Below are 23860 nucleotides of genomic sequence, written 5' to 3'. Positions count from 1 at the left end.
AGATCAGTTCCGGAACTTCTCTCCTTAGGTTTCCTGTAACATCCGGGTTTCTCCCTTACTTGCTTAAAACAACCTCTTGCTTTCATTCATCCATTCATTCACTCTGAGGCCATCTGAGGAAAGCTTCCTTACCTGCTTTCCTGATGACCTAATATATGCTGTACCCACCTACTTCCTCTTCCTTGAATGGGGAAACCAAGTCACAGGGAAAGATACATCTCTCCCTTCTAATGCTGGATCTCATTCCTTACAAGCCTGCTCTCATTCTCCACCTCCAATCTCTCTGTGTCCATTCTTCTCTTCTTTTCATCCGTCAGTTATGCCAGTGGCTCCCAGCCTGGAGTATGAATCTGGGGGCAGGGGTGTCTCTGAACTTAGGTGGGGAAAAAAATGCATCTTTATTTTCACTAACTCTAAGTGAAATTCAGTATTTTCTTTGATTATGACAACAAATCACAATTGTGTAAGCAATATCTGTGTCTTTATCACCAATAGAAATCACATCTATTTTCATCTTTTTTTTTTTTTTGAGATGAGGGTCTTGCTCTGTAGGAGTGCAGTGGTGCAAACACAGCTCACTGCAGCCTCAAACTCCTGCTCTCAAGCAACTCTGCTGCTTCAGCCTCTTAAGTAGCTGGGACTACCAATGTGGACCCATGCCTAGCTAATGTTTTTAAAAATGTTTTGTAGAGACGAGGTCTTACCATCTTGCCTAGGCTTCACATCTATTTTCAGATCTCATTATTGGTTTTGCGATATCTTGAAGTGGCATTTATAGTCATTACTTCTCTGAGATTATGGAAACCAGTAGACCACAACCAGCTTTTGTTATTTAATACTTCAATGAAAGGCTTATACATTGTTTTATTGATAATTTTTTTAAATTTGGAGAACGATACATCAATATAATTTATTATTTTGTAATTATATGCATACTGTTTTGCACACTTAAAAACTTTATTGGAGACCAAGACAGGAGGATCCCTTGAGGCCAAGAGATTGAGATCAGCCTGGACAACATAGCCAGATCCCATCTCTATAAAAAACATTTAAAAATTAGCCAAACATGGTGGTGTGTGCCTATAGTCCCAGCTACTCAGAAGGTGGAGGTGGGAGGATTGCTCAAGCCCAGGAGTTTGAGGTTACAGCAAACTATGATCGTGCCACTGCACTCCAGCCTAGGTGAAAAAGCAAGACCCTGTCTCAAAAATAATAGTAATAAAAATAATTTCTTTTAAAAAAACCTTATTGGGCAGGGAGGGGGGCCATTATTCCCAAAATTGGTCATTAGCTTCACCAGATTGCCAAAGATACATTTCTTAGTCTGTTTTGTGTTACTGTAACTGAATACCTGAGGCTGGGTAATTTATAAAGAACAGAGATTCATTTCTTACAGTTCTGGAGGCTGGGAAGTCCAACAGCATGGCACTGGCATCTGGTGAGAGTCTTCTTGCTGTGGCATAACCTGGCAAAGGTCATTACACTGTGAGAGGGTGTATTAGTCAGGGTTCTTTAGAGGGACAGAAGCAATGGAATATGTATGTACGTGTGTGTGTGTATATATATATATATGTATGTGTGTGTATCTATATGTATACACGTATATACGTGTATCTCTATGTATACACGTATATACGTGTATCTCTATGTATACACGTATATACGTATATTTTTTTAAAAAAAATCCTTTTTTTAAAAAATAAGGATTTTTAACATCTCTCCACATCAGCACAGAACAATCTCATTCTTTTTCAATGGCTTTACTGAATGAAATCTGCATTAAAAAATTATAATTTAAAATATGTATTCGGCCGGGCATGGTGGCTCACACTTGTAATCCCAGCACTTTGGGAGGCCAAGGCGTGCAGTCACATGAGGCCAGGAGTTCAAGACCAGCCTGGTCAACATGGTGAAAGCCCATCTCTACTAAAATTACAAAAATTAAAAATTAGCCAGGTATGGTGGCACACACCTATAATCCTAGCTATTCAGGTGGCTGAGGCATGAGAATCGCTTGAACCGAAGAGATGGAGGTTGCAGAGAGCCAAGATCACACCACTGCACTCCAGCCTGGGCAACAGAGAGAGACCCTATCTCCAAAAATATATAAATAAATAAAATGGTAAAATGGTAAATTTTATGTTACATGTATTTTACCACAATTAAAAAAACAAAAACAAAAACAAAAAAAAACTTTTTGAAGCTCTTCAGGTAATTGAGCTGCTTTGCTCCTCCTGCCCCTGGTCCAGTCACCAGCCTGACATTTTGGAGACGCCTACTCTCACTTTGCCTCTTTTGCCACCATTCTGAGTCCACTCATTCTAGAGAAATTAAAAGCAAAAAGACGAGTTGTATTTCTTCATGGAAACAGTTCCCTCTCCACGGGCGGCCGCTAACACGGAGCTGTAGCGGTATGAAAGGGCTCCTTCCTAAGCCTGTCAGGGGTCGGCAGACGGCTGTTATGCTGTTGGTGCCACCGACAGCCCCAGTACTCTGGGAGGACAGAATCCCTTTCAGCTGTGGAATGCCTTTCATCCTCCGTGTTGAAAAGCTCTGCAGAAATCAGGCCAGGGCTTGTGAAGCGCAATTCAAGCCCAGGCCCAAACAGCCCAAAGAGCCTGCTGTGGCAGAAGTCTGCATGGAAACCTACCCTCCCCGTCCCTGCTAAAGCCTCCTTGTACTTTCTTCCACTTGCATTTCCATATCCCTGACCCATCTACAGGGCTCGGAAAAAGCCTTTTCACACGTGATATGTTCAGATAAGTTAAATCCCCTGAAATTCTGCGTGACGTGGTGTATCTGTGCCATTTAGTGTCGTTCCATTGATCCACAGACTTGGGAGCAGTTCAGATCTGAGGGAACAAAAGCTGGTCCAAGGACATCATTGTCAAATCTTCAACCCACAGGCAGGCTCTCCCAGCACCTCGGGAACTCTGTGTCACAGCAGTCCATGGAAGTATTGCCCTGGCTACAGGCAGACACTTCACAAAGAGGATTTTGTGACCTGGACAAGTTACTGTGGTATGCAAAATTCTTGCATCTGCCTGTTAAGGAATCACTGAATGTCTGGGCGGATCTGTCTTCATATTTTCCACATTCACACAGCGTGGCTCTAAGGTCTGTCCGAGTCCCATCAGTTGGGGCCTGGCAGGGAGATGACTCCATTGGAGACCCAGGATTTTCCTCTCCCCGGCTGGTTTCTCCCAGGTCATTGCACGTACCAACATTTCATCATTTCGTGGAAGTTTTCTTAGGTGTAGCTCTGACCTCATCTCATAGGTTCATTCAAGATTCTTCATGTTCTCCTTCCTACACAACAGCCACTATACTATAAGAGTCGCTTCACTGAAGCCTGTCACCGTGCACCACTGCCACCCACTGCACTGCCAACGCTGTGTCCACGCACTCAGGAACCGTCCCTTCGGTTAGGTTTTTACCTGCTCAAACGTCATTCCTTTCAGCTATGGTGGCCTTGCCTGGCAGGCCTGGTTCATTTTTAAGAATTGGAATCCAGGGAGTGGTGAGACCTGGCTGTTCTATTTGGAGAACTAGGGGCCGCCACTCTCAACGCGTTTTCATTTTCCTGCTGCCTTCCCTCTGAGATCAGACATTCTCAGACTCCATCCTACGGCTGAAATCCTGGCAATTGCTCTATACTGAGGTATGGGAGTTGGGAACAAGCCCTGTGTAGGTCAAAACAGGCCCCTGAGTTCCTGGCAACTGGGTTTCCTAAGATAAAGGTCTTGCTCCTGGTTGCTGGCTTGCCATGGTGCCAAATAGGCCCTTTACAGCCTTCTTGTGGCATGGCTGTTTTCCAAAAATTAACCAGTTCTAGTGTGCGTTTCAAGAAACTTTACTTTCAGCACAGGAAACAAATATCAGCTTCTCATTCTGGTTTTCATGCTCTGGGTTGCTAGCTGGCAACTTTTGTCTGCTCTGAGACTCCTGAAAGATGTCACACCCTCCATCATCAGAGTTGTGTGTTACGTAATCGGTTTTGCTTGGATTCTCAATCAGAGCTACCATCTTCCCCACCTGTGCACCCCAAGTTCACCTGGGTGATACAGCAGTCTTTAAGGATGGGGACCGGACAGGTGTGGTGTGGAAAATTACCTCTAGGTCAGCAGTTCTCAAAGTATGGCCCCCACTCAGCAGCATCAGCATCACATAGGAAACTTGTTATAAATGCAAATCCTCAGTCCCACCCCAGACGTGTCGAATCTGAGGCTGGATCCAGCAAGCCCCCCAGCTGAGTCTAACGCATGCTCACTGGGGCCACGGCTCTAGGTGAGGCTTTGTTTGCCCTCCACCTGTCCCTTATCACAGGGGTCCGCAACCTCCAGGCCATGGACGGGTACTGGCATTATACTCTCACAGGAGTGCAAACCCTATTGTGAACTGTGCATGTGAGGGATCTAGGTGCATGCTTTTTATGAGAATCTAATGCCTGATGATCTGTCACTGTCTCCCATCACCCCCAGATGGGACCATCTAGTTGCAGGAAAAGAAGCTCAGGGCTCCTACTGATTCTACCTTATGGTGAGTTGTATTATGATTTCATTATATATTACAATGTAATAATAATAGAAATAAAGTGCACAATAAGTGTAATGCACTTGAATCATCCTGAAACCATGCCCCCTGACCCCTGGTCCATGGAAAAATTGTCTTCCATGAAACCCATTCCTGAAGCCAAAAAGGTTGGGGACTGCTGCCTTACAAGAATCACAGTTTTAGGCTGGGCGTGGTGGCTCATGCCTGGAATCCTGGCACTTTGGGAGGCTGAGATGGGAGGATCACTTCAGGCCAGGAGTTCAAGACCAGCCTGGTAAACATATTGAGACCCCATCTCTAATTAAAAAAAAAAAAAAGAGTCACAGTTTTAGAACAGTGGCTCTCAGCCCTGGCTGCATCTTAGGATCACCTGGGGAGCTTTTATAAAGTATAGATACCCTGACCTCACACCTAGAGGTTCTGATTGAATTCATCTGCTGGGTCACAGCTCTTCAGGTGATTCTAATGTTCAGATAGGGCTTTAAGAACCATTCACAGCCAGGCGCGGTGGCCCAAGCCTGTAATCCCAGCACTTTAGGAGGCTGAGGTGGGTGGATCACCTGAGGTCAGGAGTTGGAGACCAGCCAGGCCAACATGGTGAAACACCGTCTCTACTAAAAATACAAAAATTAGATGGGTGTGGTGGTGTATGCCTGTAGTCCAAGCTATTCTGGAAGCTGAGGCAGGGGAATTTCTTGAACCCTGGAGGCAGAGGTTGCAGTGAGCTGAGATCACACCATTGCACTCTAGACTGGGCTACAAGAGCGAAACTCCGTCTCAAAACAAACAAACAAACAAACAAAAAACCACTCACAAGCTTCTCCAGGCAGAGTTTGGCAGCCTTGCGAGTAACCACCCATTTGTTCCTCACCACCTCCTCCCAGCACAGAAGTAATTTATTTTTTGCAATTCATCATGATCACTCGTCAGCCAGAGAGGTAACAAAATGTAGGACACAGCATTGCCAGGTTCAGGGAGAGACTTGGATTTCTAACCCGACCCCTCACTGGCTGCAAACCTTTGGGAAAATTAAATCATCTAATCTTTCTAGGCCTCAGTGGCTTCCTTTACAAAATAGGAATTATATTAACATTTATTGGATAGTCTCTTAAGGTCTTTTCCAGGAAAAAAATAAATCTTTGGTTCTAAGAGCTTCTGAAGGGTCTGAACTTGTCTTCAGCATAGAATTGCTAATATTGAGTTTTCATCCTTCAGGATGAGCAGAAGATATTGTGAGCCAGTCCATTTTGTGTTTTTTCCAGTATTCACAAATATGGGCCAAGCCTAAAAGAGACTGGCACTCAGCACCCAGATGCCAAGAAGGAAGCCATGACAGTGGTATGTTTGTACTCCTGCTCCGTGCCCTAGAATGTTCCAATGGGCACTCTGCAGCTGCTCAGGAGAGAGACTTCCACGCTCAGTGTGCCCCCGACTGCCACCCTCCATGTTCACAGACATCCTCGTCCTTCTCACTGCCACTTAGCTACCCACCCTTCCTCCTGACTCCTCTTCACTTTCCTTTTATTTTTTTTGAGGCGGAGTCTCACTCTGTCAAACAGGCAGAAGTGCAGTGGTGTGATCTTGGCTCACTGCAACCTCCACCTCCCAGGTTCAAGTGATCCTCCTGCCTCAGCCTCCCGAGTAGCTGGGATTACAGGTGCCCACCACCACGCCAGGCTAATTTTGTATTTTTAGTAGAGATCGTGTTTCGCCATGTTGGCCAGGCTGGTCTCGAACTCCTGACCTCAAGTGATCCGCCCACCTCAGCCTCCCAAAGTGCTGCAATTACAGGCGTGAGCCACTGCGCCCAGCTCCTCTTTGCTTTTCTTTTTGGCCCTGCAAAGACTACAATAATCAGCCTGTGACTATCTTCACGGAGCTCATCCATCCAACCCTACTAACACGAAGACTCCTATGAAAAACAAGTCAAGTGTTCCAGGAAGGAGAAGGTGAATAGGTCAAGTGTTTCCTGAATCAGTTGCTTAAATAAAAAAAAAAAAAAAAAAATTTTTTTTTTGCATATTCACTTTCTTCCCTGAAAACAAAATAGTTTTATATTCCCCTCCCTCCTATAGCCCCACCGGAGGAAGTAATGGGATTAGAAGGCTAAGAGAAGATGGTAAGTTGTTTGAAGCTGATAGTGTGTCCTCAATACTATGTTAAAAGTCAAGTAAACCTGTAATTTCTAGGAATCTCTTCACAGAGAGAAAAAAACTATATAAGGACCCCAGGAATTTGGCTAGAGGACACGGCCAAGCCTTCCCATGGTCCAGGTTGCCACGGAGAGGCAGGGATGGGTTCCACATGCTGGTGTCCCAACTTCAATTCTTCTGCCCACTCTGGACTCCATTTCTGTAATCAGGGAACACCCATCCCTTCTCTGGAGGAGAGGTGTAGGAAAGGGCTTCAACAGGCACTGGGCTGTACAAGTTCTAGTCCTTTTCCCAGCCTGAATTTGGGAGACTCAAGTGCAGTTGGCCAAGAATGACAGTCATGCTTTTTATCCACAGGGGATTAGGTGTGTTCTGATCAAGCTGAGAGCCTTTTATTCTCTTTTCCAGATCCTTCCCTTGCTACTGGCAAGATGTATGCATATTCCGGATCCCAGGTCTGTTGTCCCCTCATGCCATGTGGAAGTTTCCCAAGACTATAGAGAAATGTTTAGATGTGCAGATGCCACACACTAATTCTTAGAGTTTCTACGGCCATTATGACTAAAGGGATTTTTGTATACTGTTTAATTTTTTGGTTGGGTCTTTGTTTCACTTTTTTTTCTAATTGAGGGGGAATTTTAAATTGTAACCGTTGTTACACCGTGAGCAGACACAGTACCTTCAAGACAACTTCTCCATCCTTTTGGTTTTATAATATGTGCATCCTAAGGCACCCTTTTCAAAGTTACTTAGGTGTCAACCTCAGTGTACAATTCTACAATGAGTAGAACCTGCATCACAGTGAAATAAACTGGTCCAGCTGGTATGATTCGATGGTTCTGGCACTTCCCAAGCACAGTATTCCTCTCTTCCATTCTGTCATTCATACCTGAAACTCCACCCTACTGATTAATGACATATCCATGCTGAAGCACAAATATCTCAGGAGAAAGCAGCTTATTGATGTTGCCTGAGTGATACTTTATTTATCAGATCCTTTTCAATATGGCATTCACTTGAGAGCCGGTTTACAGAGCGGGGAAATGTGGGCAAGAGCATGGTTTATGCAGAGACGGCCTGAGATAGGGCCCTATTCGGCTAGGGAAGTGTGACCAGGCCCTCATGTAATCCTCACGACCATAGCAGCTATTGTTTAACGCACCAGCCCCCACCAGCCCCACCTTTTGTTTTTTTGTTTTTTTTCAAATTCAAAGCTCAGAAAGGTTAACTAACTTACTAAGAGTAGCACAGATGGCAAATGATAGAGGTGGTGTCTAAACCCATATCTCAACAGGAAGCCAGATTCCACCGTGAAATGCCAGTTAATTCTGACACAATCTTACCTTTTTCTTATAACATCACTCATCTAATCAATTTCGAGAGTTTCCCATTGTCCTGGTGATGAGGCAAAGGGCCAAAAAACATGGAGCTTCATGTAGTACCTGAGAGACCACAGCCAAGGAAAAATTACTCCAGTGATCCAAAGAAAAGAAGCCTCTTTGGGATCTCCAACATGCAAACTGTAGTTTTGTATTGTTTGTTTAAAATAATTAATCAGGTCAGTTTGGCTTCCTATTGAACTTACTTGAGGTCTGTAACACTGCTAATGAAAGGAAATAAATGAATGAGGATGAAGAGTACATGCTAGGGTACTAGCATGTAGATTTCCAGAAATGTTCTAAGTCCTAAATTAGTTTTCCTTGATGGATACCTGCCAACTACCTGTTTGAAATTAGACTTTAATTCTTGATATTGTGTTGAAATTCTGATTCCATCCTATGAAGAAAGAGTTTTTCCCATGATCATTCATGCTTTGCACTTGCAGGGGTGGGTGTCTGCATAGGTTAGAACATGGTATGATCCCTGGAAGAGAATAAATAAGAGCCTAATACATGTTTGTGGGGAGAGGAAGATAGGGCGAACGTGTATTAGGAAAAAAAATGTCTGTTGGTTTAGGAAATAATTTTGGGGCCCTTCTGGGAACTATGCACCAGAGGAATCCAAATCCAGAATAGTGAGAAGATGCAGAGGAAGAAATGAGTTGAAAGTTTTTCAGGAGACCAGAGTTGAGTTTCCTCTGATTTAAACTCAGGATAATTGAGTCAAGTATAAGAACTGAGGAATGGCTGGGTGCGGTGGCTCATGCCTGTAATCCCAGCACTTTGGGAGGCTGAGGTGGGCGGATCACGAGGTCAAGCGATCGAGACCATCCTGGCCAACATGGTGAAACCCTGTCTCTACTAAAAATACAAAAAATTAGCTGGGCGTGGTGACACACACCTGTAGTCCCAGCTACTAGGGAGGCTGAGACAGGAGAATCACTTGAACCCAAGAGGCGGAGGTTGCGGTGAGCTGAGATTGTATCACTGCACTCCAGGCTGTCAACAGAGTGAGACTCCGTCTCAAACAAACAAACAAACAAAGAACTGAGGAACTAGATTGTGTTGCAGGCATTCTGAAGGTGGGATGGTGGCAAGATGGTTTAGGCTTGAGTAGAACAACGAAGAAAGTATACGTTTCTCAATGAAGAAGGGAGAGGAGGATAAGATCAAGAATGAACGTAACAGGACCAGAAGGCCAAAGGTGCCCAGGATTGGGGCAGCAGGGCCTCTCATGAAGTCTGTTTTTCTTAATTGGCAAAGAGCTGGGCTCTCTGCCCTCTGCAGCTGCACTTTCCTATGAACGTAAGATTGGCACGTTTACATCTGCTCACATCTCTGTTCTAGGGGTTTCATGGCATTCAAATAAGTGGTCCTGCAGGGATATTTTTATGGAAATCAATTTTTTTTGGATATAAGTTTGGTTGCATAAAACAGAGTCTCAAAGTAATAGAAACGTAATCAAGATACAGGTCTCCTTCTCCTTCATGCAGCAGGAGAAGCTAGAATGGCGGCTGTTCTGACGAGCTGCCGGGGGTTGGACTTACCTATCTGGTTGTCCCATTTTTCCTATGGAGTCATCTTTGTCTGGATGGTTCTGAATGGCTCACCCCTGTGATTGTATTCTAGCCATCAGGAAAAAGAAGGGAGTGTCCCTTCCCTTGAAGAGTATGACCCCAAAGTTTCACATAAAACATCCCTTTCCCATCCTTTGACCAAGACTTAGTCTCGTGGTCACGACGACCTGCAGGGGAGGCTGAGAAAAGAGGCTGACTTGGCTCACGGTTCTGCAGGCTGTACAGGAGGCATACAGGCATCTGCTTCTGGGGAGGCCTCAGGAAGCCTTCAACCATGAGGAAGGCAAAGGGGGAGCGAGGCACCTCAGAAGCCTGGGGTAGGAGGAAGAGAGGGAGTGGGGAAGTGCTACACACTTTTAAACAGCCAGATCTCACGATAATTCACTCACTCACTATCATGAGAACAGCATCGAGGGGATGGTGTAACCCATTCATGAGAAACTGCCCCCATGATCTAGTCACCTCCCACCAGGCCCCCACCTCCAACACTGCGGGTTACAATTCGATATGAGATTTGGGTGGGGACACAGATCCAAACCATGTCACCCTATTATACCCATGAGAGGTTTCCCCACTCTGGGCCACTTTGACCTAAACTTCCACGTTCTCAGTTGCTACCATACTTGACTTTCCATTTAGATCACTCCCTAAAGACCCAACTTCAGCAATCCTAGAATAGAAATGGATATATCCCTCTTACAAAAATTTTTTTTTTAATTCAAATAAGACATTTTTGAAAAAGGAAACTAGGCCGGGTGCAGTGGCTCACGCCTGTAATCCCAGCACTTTCGGAGGCCAAGGCGGGTGGATCACTTGAGGTCAGGAGTTCGAGATCAGCCTGGCCAACATGATGAAACCCCATCTCTCCTAAAAATACAAAAATTAGCCGAGTATCTTGGTGCAAACCTGTAATCCCAGCTAGTCAGGAGGCTGAGGCAGGAGAATCGCTTGAACCCGGGAAGCAGAGGTTGCAGTGAGCCAAGATCGCACCACTGCACTCCAGCCTGAGCGACAAGAGCAAGACTCCATCTCAAAAAAAAAAACAAAAAACAAACAAACAAAAAACAAAGAAAAAGGAAACTAAAACTAAGGGAAAAGCAACATTAAAAATACTAACTGGTATGATCTAGTGCTCATTATTTATATAGTGTCAGCTACTGTTGTACATGTTTTAGATACTTAACTCATTTAATCCTCACAACGGCCTGTGGTGCATGTATAATAATTATCAAGATCATTCTTTATAAGTGAAATAGAAAGAAATTAAGTTTTTGTTTTGTTTTGTATTGTTTTTATCCTTTGTCATAGAGCTTGTGAGAGCAGAGTTGCAATTCAATCCCAGTGATCTGTTCTGGAGTCCGTACTCATTCTCCAAGTCTTCATTCTCTAGGTCTCATTCTCTCCCTGTTCACCAAAGCATGAAGACGGGCACTCACAGGGCATGCTCTCCTTGGCTAAGCTGCCTGGTCAGTAGCTGTAGTTGGCTTGGAGGGCATGGCTTCCTGGCAATTCTGCTCCATTCCCAAGTCACACTTCCCTTTGTCTAGGCTGTCTCCACCTATGGATAAGCCCAACTTTTTCTTTGGTTGTTTCAATCTGGCCCTTGGGGAGACCTCGAAGGCCCTGTGTATCATCCCTTCACTTGCACTCCTGACTCTAGGCCAACCATCCTCTATTCAAAAATGAGGCTCCAGCATTTCTCCCCCTTCTTGCCAAATCAGCAATTATTCCTTCGCTACCAGACCATTTTCATAATCTCAGAAACGTGCTGCTTCTTCCTCTTGGCACTACCTCCTAATGCCCCCCATACCCAGCTACTACCCATTTATTTGCTTTTCTTTGCAACAAAACTTCTCAAAAGAATTTCTGAAGGTCTCTGTCTCAATTCTTCCCTTTCCATTCTCTCTTAAAAACATCTCCATCGGTCTTCTTCCTCACTGATCTTGTCAAGGTCACAATGACGTCCCATTGTCATCTCTCAGAACTTTTACTTGATATATCAGCAAACTTTGACATGGTGGATCACTCCCTCCCTGATACACTTTTTAAACTTGGTTGCCAGAAAAATCTCTTGATTTTCCTCCTACCTTACGGTGGCCCCTTCCCTGTCATTTATGCAAATTCCTCATTTTCTCCCTGATCTTTTAATGTTGGCGTCTATTTTTTCTCCTCCTCCATCTGTCCACTCCATTAGTAATCTCATGGCTCCACACGCCTTTATTTGCTGACAGCTCCCAAGGATATACATTCTGTCTGAAGCTCTCTGCTGAACCCCAGATATCAGCCAGGGTCCACTCAGGAGGCAAAAGCCACAGAGTAGTTTGCACAGGAACAGTTTAATATAATTATAATGGGGGACTGGAGTAATGGATGATGGGCTAGCAATCGGTAAAGAAAATGCCAAAGGATACATAAATAGATAAAGGGAGCTTCTGCCATCTATAAGGCTGAGATAGAGTGTTCAAGAAGAGAACAAATCTGGAAGAGGAGGACCTCCACTCATACTCTAGGGCTGAAATCCAGACCTTATTGGAAAGGGTGCAGCTGTGGCTCATGGGAAGGTGGAAAGGTTTGCTGAGCTGCTACACTGATGTTACTGAGAATCGGCCCTCTCTGGTGCTGGGGGAGCTGCCTGTTGGTTGGTGCTACACCTTGGAACTTGCTGCAAAGTCTGCTGATTGGTGCTGTGCTTCGGAACTTGCTGCAAAGGTATGGAGGGAAGCCAACCATAAGAGGTGTCTTATGCTGCCAGCTGCCAGGTAGTGGCTGCAGCTCACTGTAGGACTTGGGTGCTGCACACACTATGCACACTGTAGGGGCCTGCCACGAAGCATTCACCAGGATTGGGAAGAGAAGCCTTTCCTCCTGCAGCATCCCTCCAGTGCACTCTGCTGAGAAACTTTCACATCATTCCAGAGGGCAAAGTCAAGATATTTACATGGCCCAGCTCCATTTCCACAGACCAGATAATGAAAGGTGGATCTGGAGGTGAGAGGCAGTTAATTGATAACTGGTGTACTCCAGAGTTGGGACCAGCCATCTACTTGACATTTCTACTGGATGTCTTATAATCTCAGAAGCACCAAGTCCATGCCTGCTCTATGTACACCTTTCCCCGTTCTTCTGGCTGCTTAGGTTCGATAAAAGAGGTCACAGTTGACTCCCATCTTCTCTCACACCCCACCTGTAAATTGTGGGGAACGCCTATTGGCTCTACCTTAAACATATATCTATAATCCCACTACTTGTCACTCCACCCACTGCTGTCCCCCTGGTCCTGGTCATCGTCATGATCCCTTGCTTGAATTGCAGGAATACCTCTCTGTCTCTGTTTCTTCCCATGTGCCCTGACATCTATTTTCAACATAGTAACAAATGCAGTTCTTTGAAAATATGAGTCATATTATATCAATTCTCTGCTTAAAACTCCACATTTCACTTAAAGAAAAGGCCAAAGTGCTCACAGTGACCAAAGTGATCTAACTTCTCTCTCCCACCCTGTAACCCTTCTGCCACCACACGTCTACTCTGTCCTTTTGTGGCTCCAGTTCAATACTGGTCCCCTTGTCATTCCTGAAATAAATAGACATGCAACCTCACCCCCAAATACCCAATCAGCATTTCCCTTGTCAACTCTTTTCTTTCTGAAAAATAAATGTCCTTATTTATTATATCCATTGTCTGTTGCCTGTTTGCCCCACTAGACTATATATCCCTATCCTCCATAGGGTAGGGATGTTTTATGTATGCATTTGGACATACCCAAGCACTTAGAAAAGCCCCTGGAACATAGTGGGAGCTCGAGAAACATTAGGTGAATATTGAAGATCTAGCTCTGCATCCTCAACAGAGGACGGTGTTCCGTGGCCACACCTCCTGCCAGCTTCCTATACGCCTGAAGAAATTTGCTTTCTCTTCCTGTTAAAAGCTTGTGCTTCTACTGAAGCCTCTTCTCAAGTGCCTGCTTCTGATCTGGGAGCACCTTTGTTCCGTCCCTCTGTCAGTGGCTCCAAGCTCTCTCTGCAGACCCATTCAGGTGTTCACATGCTACTTCTTCCCTTCAACCCTCTCATCCCAGCCCTTCTTATGCGCAGTGAGAGAAGAGGCCTTCCCACCCCAACAGCCCCTCAGGTCATCAAACCATCGGCCGTGGATTAGCAATCAAAGTAATCATAGGTGCTTTATGGGTTTATTTATTTTAATCCTCATGATAACCTTGTGAGGCAAGTAGTGCCAATATGCCCATTCTACAGAAAAGACAAATGAGGCATTGAGAAGTTAGTATTTTGCTTAACTAGCACATTGAGGAGGTGGAATGTGTCTGTGCCCTGTTGCCAAAATGCAGTTTTATGTCATGAAAATGACAATGACTAATTTGGAGGGAGCTAAGTCTGACTTGAACTTGAATTAAGCATTGGTTTTGAGCTGAATTGTGAAGGGATAGAAGTCAAAATGTGATTTTCCAAAGTGAACAGTCCTTAATCAGTCTTAATAGGCTCCAATGGGAACCAAATCAGAACAGCCTGACATCATCCCGGGCTTCGTGTCCACACCCCCAAGACTGGCTGGTGTGCAGGGTCTCAGGTTCCTATTTTTATTCCAGTTGTACCACCTCCTGGCATTATCTGAGCAATGGCTTCCCATTGCTCTGAAATCCCCCATGTATGCATTAGCGAGTTAATTCTTTCTCATATTCTACTACCTCTCACAGTCTGAATGCATTCTTCTCTAACCCTTATGTAACCACCTACTGTGCACACAAAAGCGCTGGATCTCCGCATGGTTTTCTGGATTCACTCACGTCTCTTTCAGTAGATCACAAGCTCCTTGAGGGTGGGGGCGTGAGTTCCCAGTGCTTGGCATGTAGGGACTCAAATGTTTGCTGAAGAAGGAATGTCCAGAGCCCCCTCCAGTCCCCTCTATCCTTCTTATCAAATCAAGCTCTCTGGAGAGGATCTGGTAAACTCATACCAAATGATCCATTTGGTTGAATGTATTACTCCTTCCTTTGGCTTTTTAATAGTGGAGAGAGCCTTAAGCCAAGGAAATGGTATTAAATACAGAGGAGGGGCAGGGAAGAAAGATTTGGGGCAACTGGGTAAGACTGCCTGGCAAATCATATTATATAGTTGGACATCTCCTTTATCTCTGTGCACTAAGGAAGTACTCCAGAGTCAAAACCGAGCCAGTCATTTTTCAGTTTATATCTTCAGAGAAAGCGCGCGCCTGCACATGAACAAACAATGCTGCTTCCCCTGACTCCTTCACTCTAACAAACTCTCCCTCCCATTTTAAAATTTTTCATTTGCCGTGACAAGTTCCTTTATTGTTTTGATTTTTGTTTTTCCCTAAGACATGCTACTTCTCCTAAAAGAACTTTTTTTCTTCTTATTCCTAAATTGTGACTTTTTTTTGTTTCTTTGAGACAGGGTGTCACTCTGTTGCCCAAGTTGGAGTGCAATGGCACAACCACAGCTTATTGCAGCCTTGGCCTCCTGGGCTCAAGCAATCCTCCCATCTCAGCCTCCTGAATAGCTGGGACCACAGGTGTGCGCCACCATGCCCAGGCAATTTTTTGTATTTTTTGTAGAGACTGGGTTTCTCTATGTTGCCCAGGCTGGTCTTGAACTCCTGAGCTCAAGTAATCTGCCTGCCTTGGCTTCCCAAATGCTGGGATTACAGGTGTGAGCCACCTCACCCCACCCTCAATGGCGACTTCTGACTTGCAGCTTGTTGAAAATCAAGTATTGATTTGTATGAGTGAATGGAATAAATCAATGTGGAAGCCTGGCCTAGTACAGGGACTTCAGGATCATTTGCTGTATCAAATGTGTATGCAAAAGGTGCAGCAGTCATATCTAAGAGCAGGGTTTTGTTTTGGTTTTCTTTTAGAAAAAGTATTCCTTATTCCATTTGCTTCTTTTTAATTTTGTGCTTTTCCTGTACTCATCGCAGTGACGTAGCCCAAGTCCTCCCGCGAGAGTTGTCAAGACTGTCCCTCCTCAAGTTCCTCTTCTCCCATTCCTCCCTCTCTGCCACTTTCTCCCTCTTTATTGTATTTTAATCTTGACAATCAGTGAAGCTGTTGGAGGATTTAGAGGAGCAACCCTCCATGTCTTAATAATTGTGCTGGGTTTCGTTTCCCCTGTGAAAGGAACTATCTAAAATCCTCTAGACTTTTACATGTGTGTTATAAACTCAACTGCAGTGCTTCTTGAGCAATCCTGTGGGCAAGGAACTAGCCACAAGTTACTAGAAAAACCAAATGAAAAAGACATATAAAATACAAGCTCATAATGAGATTCAACAGACATAAAATGAATCTGTCAAACTGCTATCAAAGTATCTAAATGCTCTCGATTTCTGTACTTATCTCACAGGCCCCTGACCAACAGCTCATGGACAGCACCAGAGAGGGGACCGCACTTGAAAGAGCACTGCTCCAGCAAAGTATGTTGTTCACGCCTTACAGTGTTTTGGTTTAAAAGAAGAGATGAAGACTGGGTGCAGTGGCTCGTGACTGTAATCCCAGCACTTTGGGAGGCTGAGGCGGGTGGATCACCTGAGGTCAGGAGTTCAAGACAAGCCTGGCCAACATGGTGAAACTCTGTCTCTACTAAAAATACAAAAATTAGCTGGGCATGGTGGCGGGCAGCTGTAATCCCAGCTACTCAGGAGGCTGAGACAGGAGAATAACTTGAACCTGGGAGGCAGAGGTTGCAGTCAGCCAAGATTGCACCATTGCAATCCAGCCTGGGCGACAGAGCGAGGATCTGTCTCAAAAAAAAAAAAAAAAAGAAGAGATGAAAACACGCATAAATTCTTCACCTTTCCCCAAAATCTAAATAAGCTAACAAAAACTCTCTGTGCACCAGAGAGCATGTGTGCACGTATACACACTCGAATAACAAAACTTTGTAGACAGGTAATACAGTGGAAGGGTTAATTAAACCAATGGACTCAGGAGCCAGATAGCAACCATTTATAAGTTGCTTCCACTTAAACTCATTTACAATAAAATGTGGATGGTAATAATAATGCCAGATTCTTAAGACAATTAAATGGCATAATATGCATGCAGCTCTTAGAAGAATAGGCACTCAATGCCTTTAATTCTTCTTCTTTTTTTTTTTTCTGGAGACAAGTCTCGCTCTGTCACCCAGGCTGGAGTGCAGTGGCACCATGTCAGCTCACTGCAACCTCCGCCTCCTGGGTTCAAGCAATTCTCCTGCCTCAGCCTCCTGAGCAGCTGGGACTACAGGCATACGCCGCTATGCCCGGCGAATTTTTTGCATTTTTAGTAGAGACGGGGTTTCACCGTGTTGCCCAGGTTGATCTCGAACTCCTGACCTCAGACAATCCGCCCGCCTCGGCCTCCCAAAGTGCTAGGATTACAGGCGTGAGCCACCGTGCTAGGCCTATTATTATTCTTTTTGCTTCGTGGAATAAGGCGATCCCTGTTGCTTTGCTCAGTATTTCCATCTGGAAGGTGTAGATGAAACTGCGGTTTACTTGGCAAGCCAGGGCCAGTCGTCTCTTCCCCAGCATCTGGAAACATCTACCGTCAGTGGGTGGAGGCAGAATCCCAAACCTCATAAAGGAATGAAGTTTCCCTTAACTCGGTGTGAGGAGTATCCCAACCGTCTACTGCTGCTGCCCTCTGCTGCTGCCATTGAGAATTACACCAAGCCGAGTTTCTGCCACAAGACCAGCAAAATCTAACCTCATCTGGGGGGAATTAGCAATATAGGTTGAGTATCCCGTATCTAAAATGCTTGCGACAAAGTGTGTCTTGGATTTGGGATTTTTTAAGATTTTGGATTATTTGTGTATACACAGTGAGTTATCTTGGGGATGAGACCCAAGTCTAAACATGAAATTCATTTATGTTTCATATACACCTTGTCCACATAGCCTGAAGGTAATTTTATATAATATTTTAAATAATTTTGTGCATGAAACAAAGTTTTGGCTATGTTTTGACTGCAACCCATTGCATGAGGTCAGGTGTAATATTTTCCACTGGTGACATCATGTCAGTGCTCAAAAAGTTTTGGATTTTGTAGCATTTCAGATTTCCAATTTTCAGATTAGGGGTGCTCAACCTGTATGGACTTTGTTTAGGATTTCATTGAATATCCCAGAATTCATTTTTCACAGTGACTTTAACATAATAGCACTGCATTTTTATAATCTATAACTATTTCTGGACATTTTCATGGAATATTTTTTATTTTCCTTTAAAAAAAATTCTATTATTATTTTACAGACAGTCTTGTTTTGTCACCCAGGCTGAAGTGTTAGTGGCACAAGCATAGCTCACTGTAACCTGGAACTCCTGGGCTCAAGCAATCCTCCTGCCTCAGCCTCCCAAGCAGCTGGGACTACAGCCATGTAACCAACCACCATACCCAGCTAAATTTTTTATTTTTTGTAGAGACAGAGTCTCTGTTGTTCAGGCTGATCTCAAACTCCTGGCTTCAAGTGATCCTCCCACCTTGGCCTCCCAAAGCATGCTGGGATGAGCCACTATGCCTGGACATCAAACGTTGCTCTATGTTACCTCAAGCAGGCTTCTGAACATGGCCAATTCTCTCCTTTTTTTTTTTTTTTTTTTGAGACGGAGTCTCGCTCTGTCGCCCAGGCTGGAATGCAGTGGCGCGATCTCTGCTCACTGCAAGCTCCGCCTCCCAGGTTCACACCATTCTCCTGCCTCAGACTCCCAAGTAGCTGGGACTACAGGCACCCGCCACCACGCCCGGCTAATTTTTTGTATTTTTAGTAGAAACAGGGTTTCACCATTTTAGCCGGGATGGTCTCGATCTCCTGACCTTGTGATCCGCCCGCCTTGGCCTCCCAAAGTGCTGGGATAACAGGCATGAGCCACCGCGCCCGGCATGGCCAATTCTCAAAGCTACTCTTCTCTGACTTTCTCATTTTGGTTTTCTGTACCCCAGTTTCCCAGAGACTTAAGGCCCCCAGTAGCTGTGACCTCTCTTTTTTCAAGTCCTCTCAGTGGCTCAAACCAACCCCTCCCACCCTCTGCAAAAGCTTTTAGCACCTCGAGAGAGGCACTCCTGCCTCCAAGCCTCTCCCTTTTACAGGTCATGGAAATCCATTGTTCAAAGGCTCTCTCTGCTCTGAGTCATCTCTCCACAGCCCATGCTTGGCCCACGCTCCTTGGGCCTCCTGCAACCCACCCTGCCAGCTCCAAGCCTTATCTCTCATGACCCCAACACAGCTGCCAGGCTGGCTCCCATCATCCACATACACATTGTCATTTCCTGCCTTTGCGTTTTAGTGATTGCTCTTTCTTGTGTTGAAAAGGCACTCTTTTCTATAAAAATTATTCACTGCACAGCTCAAATGCTATTTCCTATATAGTGCCTTCTCTAAACACTCCAGGGAGTACCTTAACTTCTATGACATTTCTTGTGTCTTACCTGGGTTGCGCTTATCAAATGCATTGTTACTTGGGCATATTTCTTCTTAAAATTTTTTCTACTATCATATGACCCAGCAATCCACTACTGGGTATATATCCACAGAAATGGAAACCAGTATGCTGAAGAGCTGTCTGCACTCCTATCTCCATTGCAGCATTAATTACAATAGCCAATGCATGAAACAACTCAAGTGTACAGCAAGAGATTAATGGATAAACATCTACTGTCAGTTGGTGGAGGCACAATCCCAACCACTGTTTAGGAATGAAGTTTTCCTAAGCTCACAGTGTGAGAAATATCCCAATCATGGGTATATTCATGGGTAAAGAAAATGTGGTACATATATGTACAGCCTTTAAAAAGAAGGAAATCCTGCCATTTGCAGTAACATGGATAAACCTGGAGGACTTATTATGTTGAGTGAAATAAGCCAGGCCCAGAAAGAGAAATATTGCATGATCTCATTTATATGTGGAATCTCAAAACATTGAACTAATAGAAGCAGTGAGCAGAATGGAGGTTATTAGGGGCTGGGGTGGGTAGGTGTTAGAGAGATGTTGGTCAAAGGGTAAAAAATTTTAGACAGCAGGAATAAGTTTAAGAGTTCTATTGTCCATAATGGTGACTAAAGTTAATAACAATGTATTGTGTTCCTGAATTTAATGTAATACTTTTAAAAACTTAAATGAAATAGAAACATTTCTTCAGAGACCTAAACTACCAAATCTTTTTTTTTTTTTTTTTTTTTTTGAGATGGAGTTTTGCTCTCGTCGCCCAGGCTGGAGGGCAATGGTGCCATCTCAGCTCACTGCAACCTCCGTCTCCCGGGTTCAAGCAATTCTCCCACCTCAGCCTCCTGAGTAGCTGGGATTACAGGCAACTGCCACCATGCCTGGCTAACTTTTTAAATTTTTAGTATAGACGGGGTTTCACCATGTTGGCCAGGCTGGTCTCGAACTCCTGATCTCAAGTGATCCAACAACCTCGGCCTCCCAAAATGCTAGGATTACAAGCGTGAGCCACCGCGCCCAGCCCTAAACTACCAAATCTTAATAAAGAAGAAACAGATCTCCTGAATAGCCTCTATCTATTGAAGAAATTGCATGTAAAGTTTAAAACCTTCTCACAAAGAAAACTCTAGACCCAGATAGTTTCATTGGTGTATTCTACCAAACATTCAAGGAAGAGACAATACCAATCTATACATACCGTTCCACAATACAGAAGAGAAGGGAATACGGAAACTGTTCACTTTCTACCAGTTCCATCGCCCTCCTTCTCCTCTTGCCTCCACCTCCATGATTGGGAGTTCCTGTGCATGTGTACAGGTACCCCAGACCGCAGGCCCATGCTTCAGGCACAGCCCCTGCAAACAACCACCACACCCCCAGGGCCAAGGGGTGAGCCCACCAGTGGCTTTGAAAATGGGAAGCTTACCTGGTGCTGTTCCATTCTTCCAAAGCTCAACACCCCACAAGAATCCACCTGCTCTCGGTTACACTAAAACACCTGCAAGTACTTGTTTTTTATATTTCGTCCAGATTTGATCATTGTTATCTTTAGAAGAGTGACCTGTTTTTTGCATCACAGAATCTAACTTGGTTGTGAGATGCCCTTGTCACCAGCCTGGTTGTTCTATTCCCAAGATGGCACACAACAGAAATACATATTGCTTCTCAAGGTAAACCCCTCACCTTTGAGAAGTGTGTGTTTTGCTGGCTATTTCTGAGATCTGTAGCTTTGGACCTCTCTCTCGTTCTCTGCCTTTTCCTACACGTGCCCTGCTTGGTTTCCACTGCTTTTGGAAACTTCTCCACCTACTTGACATATTATTTTCTAGTTTCACTGAAAATAGAGTTTGCTTTTCTACCCCGCTGACTGTACCTACTGTTTTGACACTAGAACTATCAAAGATTCATGCAAAAGAGAAGACAGGGCCGAGGTCAGACAAGTATCAGTGGTTAACGGAATCATTATTTGTTAAATGACCCCATACGCACTAGGAAACCTATGGCTGTAGCCAGAGGTTTCTATATACCAGGACAGTATTGGAAGTCTATAATCACATGTACGTAAGACATATGCCACCCGTTTTGACAGGTGAACCAATGTCTCCTCTCTGTAACAGCATATTTCTGGGGTACAGTTATGCATGCTCAGGAAGGGCCATGAAAACACACCACTGTGTTAAGTGATACAGGTATAAGCTTGGGTTTACTAGAGGAAAAACATACAAGCAGAAAGTAGTAGAGTGCATGCCATCCCTGGAATCGAATTATCCCTCAGCTTAGACCAGGCATAGAGGTTTACATGCGCTGTGACCAACATTCCAATAAAGACTGATCTCCATGCCCTTAATATTGTAAATATTTACAGTGATGAGGTGGTTCTGCCTATCTGACTGAGTTAACACAGACCTGCTGAGCCAGTTTTCTGCCAAATTACCACAATGAAGAAGAAATGAGTGTCCAGGACCATCCAGGTTTGTCTCTCTTCAGATGTTTTGGAGATGTGGTTTGACCCATGAACTATCTGAATGTATATGTTCACCAATTATGCTGTGATGGGATTTTTACTACATTCACTTTAATGGCTTCTCAACATGAAGACAGTTGTCCTACAGCCATAACCTCACTCCATCTCCATTTCCTTATCTCTAGAAAACGAGGCGCAAGGATTGAGGCCAGTGGTATGTGACAATTACTATTCTGCCAAAGTAAATTTAGAAGCTGAAAGATAGGATGCCACTTCTGAAGATATGCGGCTGTTTTTATGCCCTGAAGCTTAGCTCTCCGCACCACACTTCATGGGACTCGCTGACCTTTAAGTCCCTTTCAACCTTGAGATTTGATTCTGTAACTAGCAGTACGGTGCATTTTTTAAAAAATAATTTAGCAAAAAAGGCTAACCACTAGAGGGCAGAAATATTACAAGAAAGGAGTGATGCCTGTTACAGTGAAGTACACCTGTGAGTTTTACAAGTCTTATTTCAATTAAATTCCACAAAATTTTATTGCCTGACAACTCCATTCTATAATCTGTGTTATGCTAAGAGTCCAGTGACTAATAATGCTGACAGTTCACAACTCAAATATGCAACTGTAAGAACGAATGGCCACCTGTTCACATTGTGTGATAGCCCTTTTCATTTGTTTAGAAGTCTATATTAAGCACTTACTGTGTGCCAGGCGCTGTTCTATGGACTCAGGATACATCAGCTACCGAAGCAAAGATCCCTAACCTTGTGAAACTGACGTTCTGGTGGGAGGACAGATCCAATAAAAACTAAAATAAATAAGTCAGTAATGTAGTGTGTTAAAAAGTGATCGGTGCTGGCCGGGCGCTGTGGCTCAGGCCTGTAATCCCAGCACTTTGGGAGGCCGAGGCGGGTGGATCACTTGAGGTCAGGAGTTTGAGACCAGCCTGGCCGACATGGTGAAACCCCATCTCTATTAAAAATACAAAAAATTAGCTGGGCGCAGTGGCGGGGGCCTGTAATCCCAGCTACTACAGAGGCTGAGGCAGGAGAATCGCTTGAACCCGGGAGGTGAAGGTTACAGTGAGCCAAGGTCGCACCATTGCACTCCAGCCTGGGCAACAAGAGCAAAACTGTCTCAAAAAAAAAAAAAAAAAAAAAATGGGATCATTGCTGTGAAAGAAGGAAAAGGTAGAACTGCATACAGGGGATTGGGATTCAGGTAAAGTGTTGCAATTTTAGGTAGGGTGGGGAAAGTAGCCTCAGGGAGGGGACATTTGATTGAGACTGAGGTAAGTGAGTGGGCCATGTGGCTAGCAGAGGATAATGTGTTTCAGGCAGAGGGAACATGAGAAGGTCCCAAGGCAGGGGAGTCACTCATAGTAGCTGAGACTGAGGTACAAGGAGGTAGACCATGAGAAGTGTTGTAAGCTGTTGTGAGCACTTCAGTTTTTCCTTTGAGAGAAATGGGGAGCCACTGAAGGATTTTTTGCAGAGGGATATTTTTAGATTCATTCTGGCTGCAGAGTTGACAAAAGTCTCAAAGTGTTATCTCTTAGGGAAGCTTCCACATATTCTGTTATCAGCTCATCAAAAAACAGAATGGAGGGCAGTTGAAGGCACCCATATTGCTGTCACCATTCAGTGAACAGCAGTCTTGAAAATTGATTGTATGAATTGGAGTAATCTTCATACCCAGCTAAATTAGAGTCCAGAGATGAGGGAGAAGAGAAAGCAGTTGGGGCACAAAGTGCCTGCCCAGGAATTATATTGAAAGCCAGCTGCCAAGGTGACCTGCTATAACCTGAAGACCAGTTTCACCCAGTAGCTGCTGAAACGAATTGCTGTAACTCTAAGACTAGTTTTACTTACCACCTTCTCTCACAAATTAGAGCTTGCCTGTTCCTAAAAACTTTGCTTAGGGTCAATGAGCTATCTTTCAAGGTAATACATAACATTTCTCTAATGAAACCTCCAACCATCTCTTTGTTGTTCTGAAGACCACCCCAGTCTGTGTGTATGCCCTGAACTGCAATTCTGTTTTCCCAAATAAAATGATTTAGAGACTCATCTTTGCATTTTTAATTGATCTTGACACAGCCAATTCACATATATCCCTACTGTGCCACATGCCAGGCACCATGCCAAGCACTTTACATACTTTCTCATTTAACCCTTCCCACCTTCTATATAATCACCATTGGTGATGATTTTATTTTATTATTAATATTTTTTGAAATGGAATTTCTCTCGTTGCCCAGGCTGGAGTGCGGCG

General features: G+C 44.3%; 1 long non-coding RNA gene across 1 annotated transcript, besides 1 other annotated feature; it reads right to left on the bottom strand.

Moving 5' to 3' along the window:
- Nucleotides 1–253: 253 nt before the first annotated feature.
- LOC105374936 (uncharacterized) lies at nucleotides 254–2837 on the bottom strand. Its single transcript, XR_926496.3, has 3 exons — nucleotides 2651–2837; nucleotides 1395–1465; nucleotides 254–373 (listed from the first exon to the last, which is right to left on the bottom strand). It is a non-coding gene; the product is annotated as an uncharacterized LOC105374936 (long non-coding RNA).
- Nucleotides 15798–15907: a silencer, noted in NCBI's record as "silent region_16927". NCBI's record gives its function as "represses an Ori minimal core promoter by ATAC-STARR-seq in GM12878 lymphoblastoid cells {active_cell/tissue: GM12878}" and the evidence as "EXISTENCE:reporter gene assay evidence [ECO:0000049][PMID:35858748]".

This window comes from Homo sapiens, chromosome 6, assembly GCF_000001405.40.
Source record: "Homo sapiens chromosome 6, GRCh38.p14 Primary Assembly".
NCBI lineage: Eukaryota > Metazoa > Chordata > Mammalia > Primates > Hominidae > Homo > Homo sapiens.
Note: the sequence above shows the minus strand (reverse complement) of the source record. Positions and strands in the feature narration are given on the sequence as shown.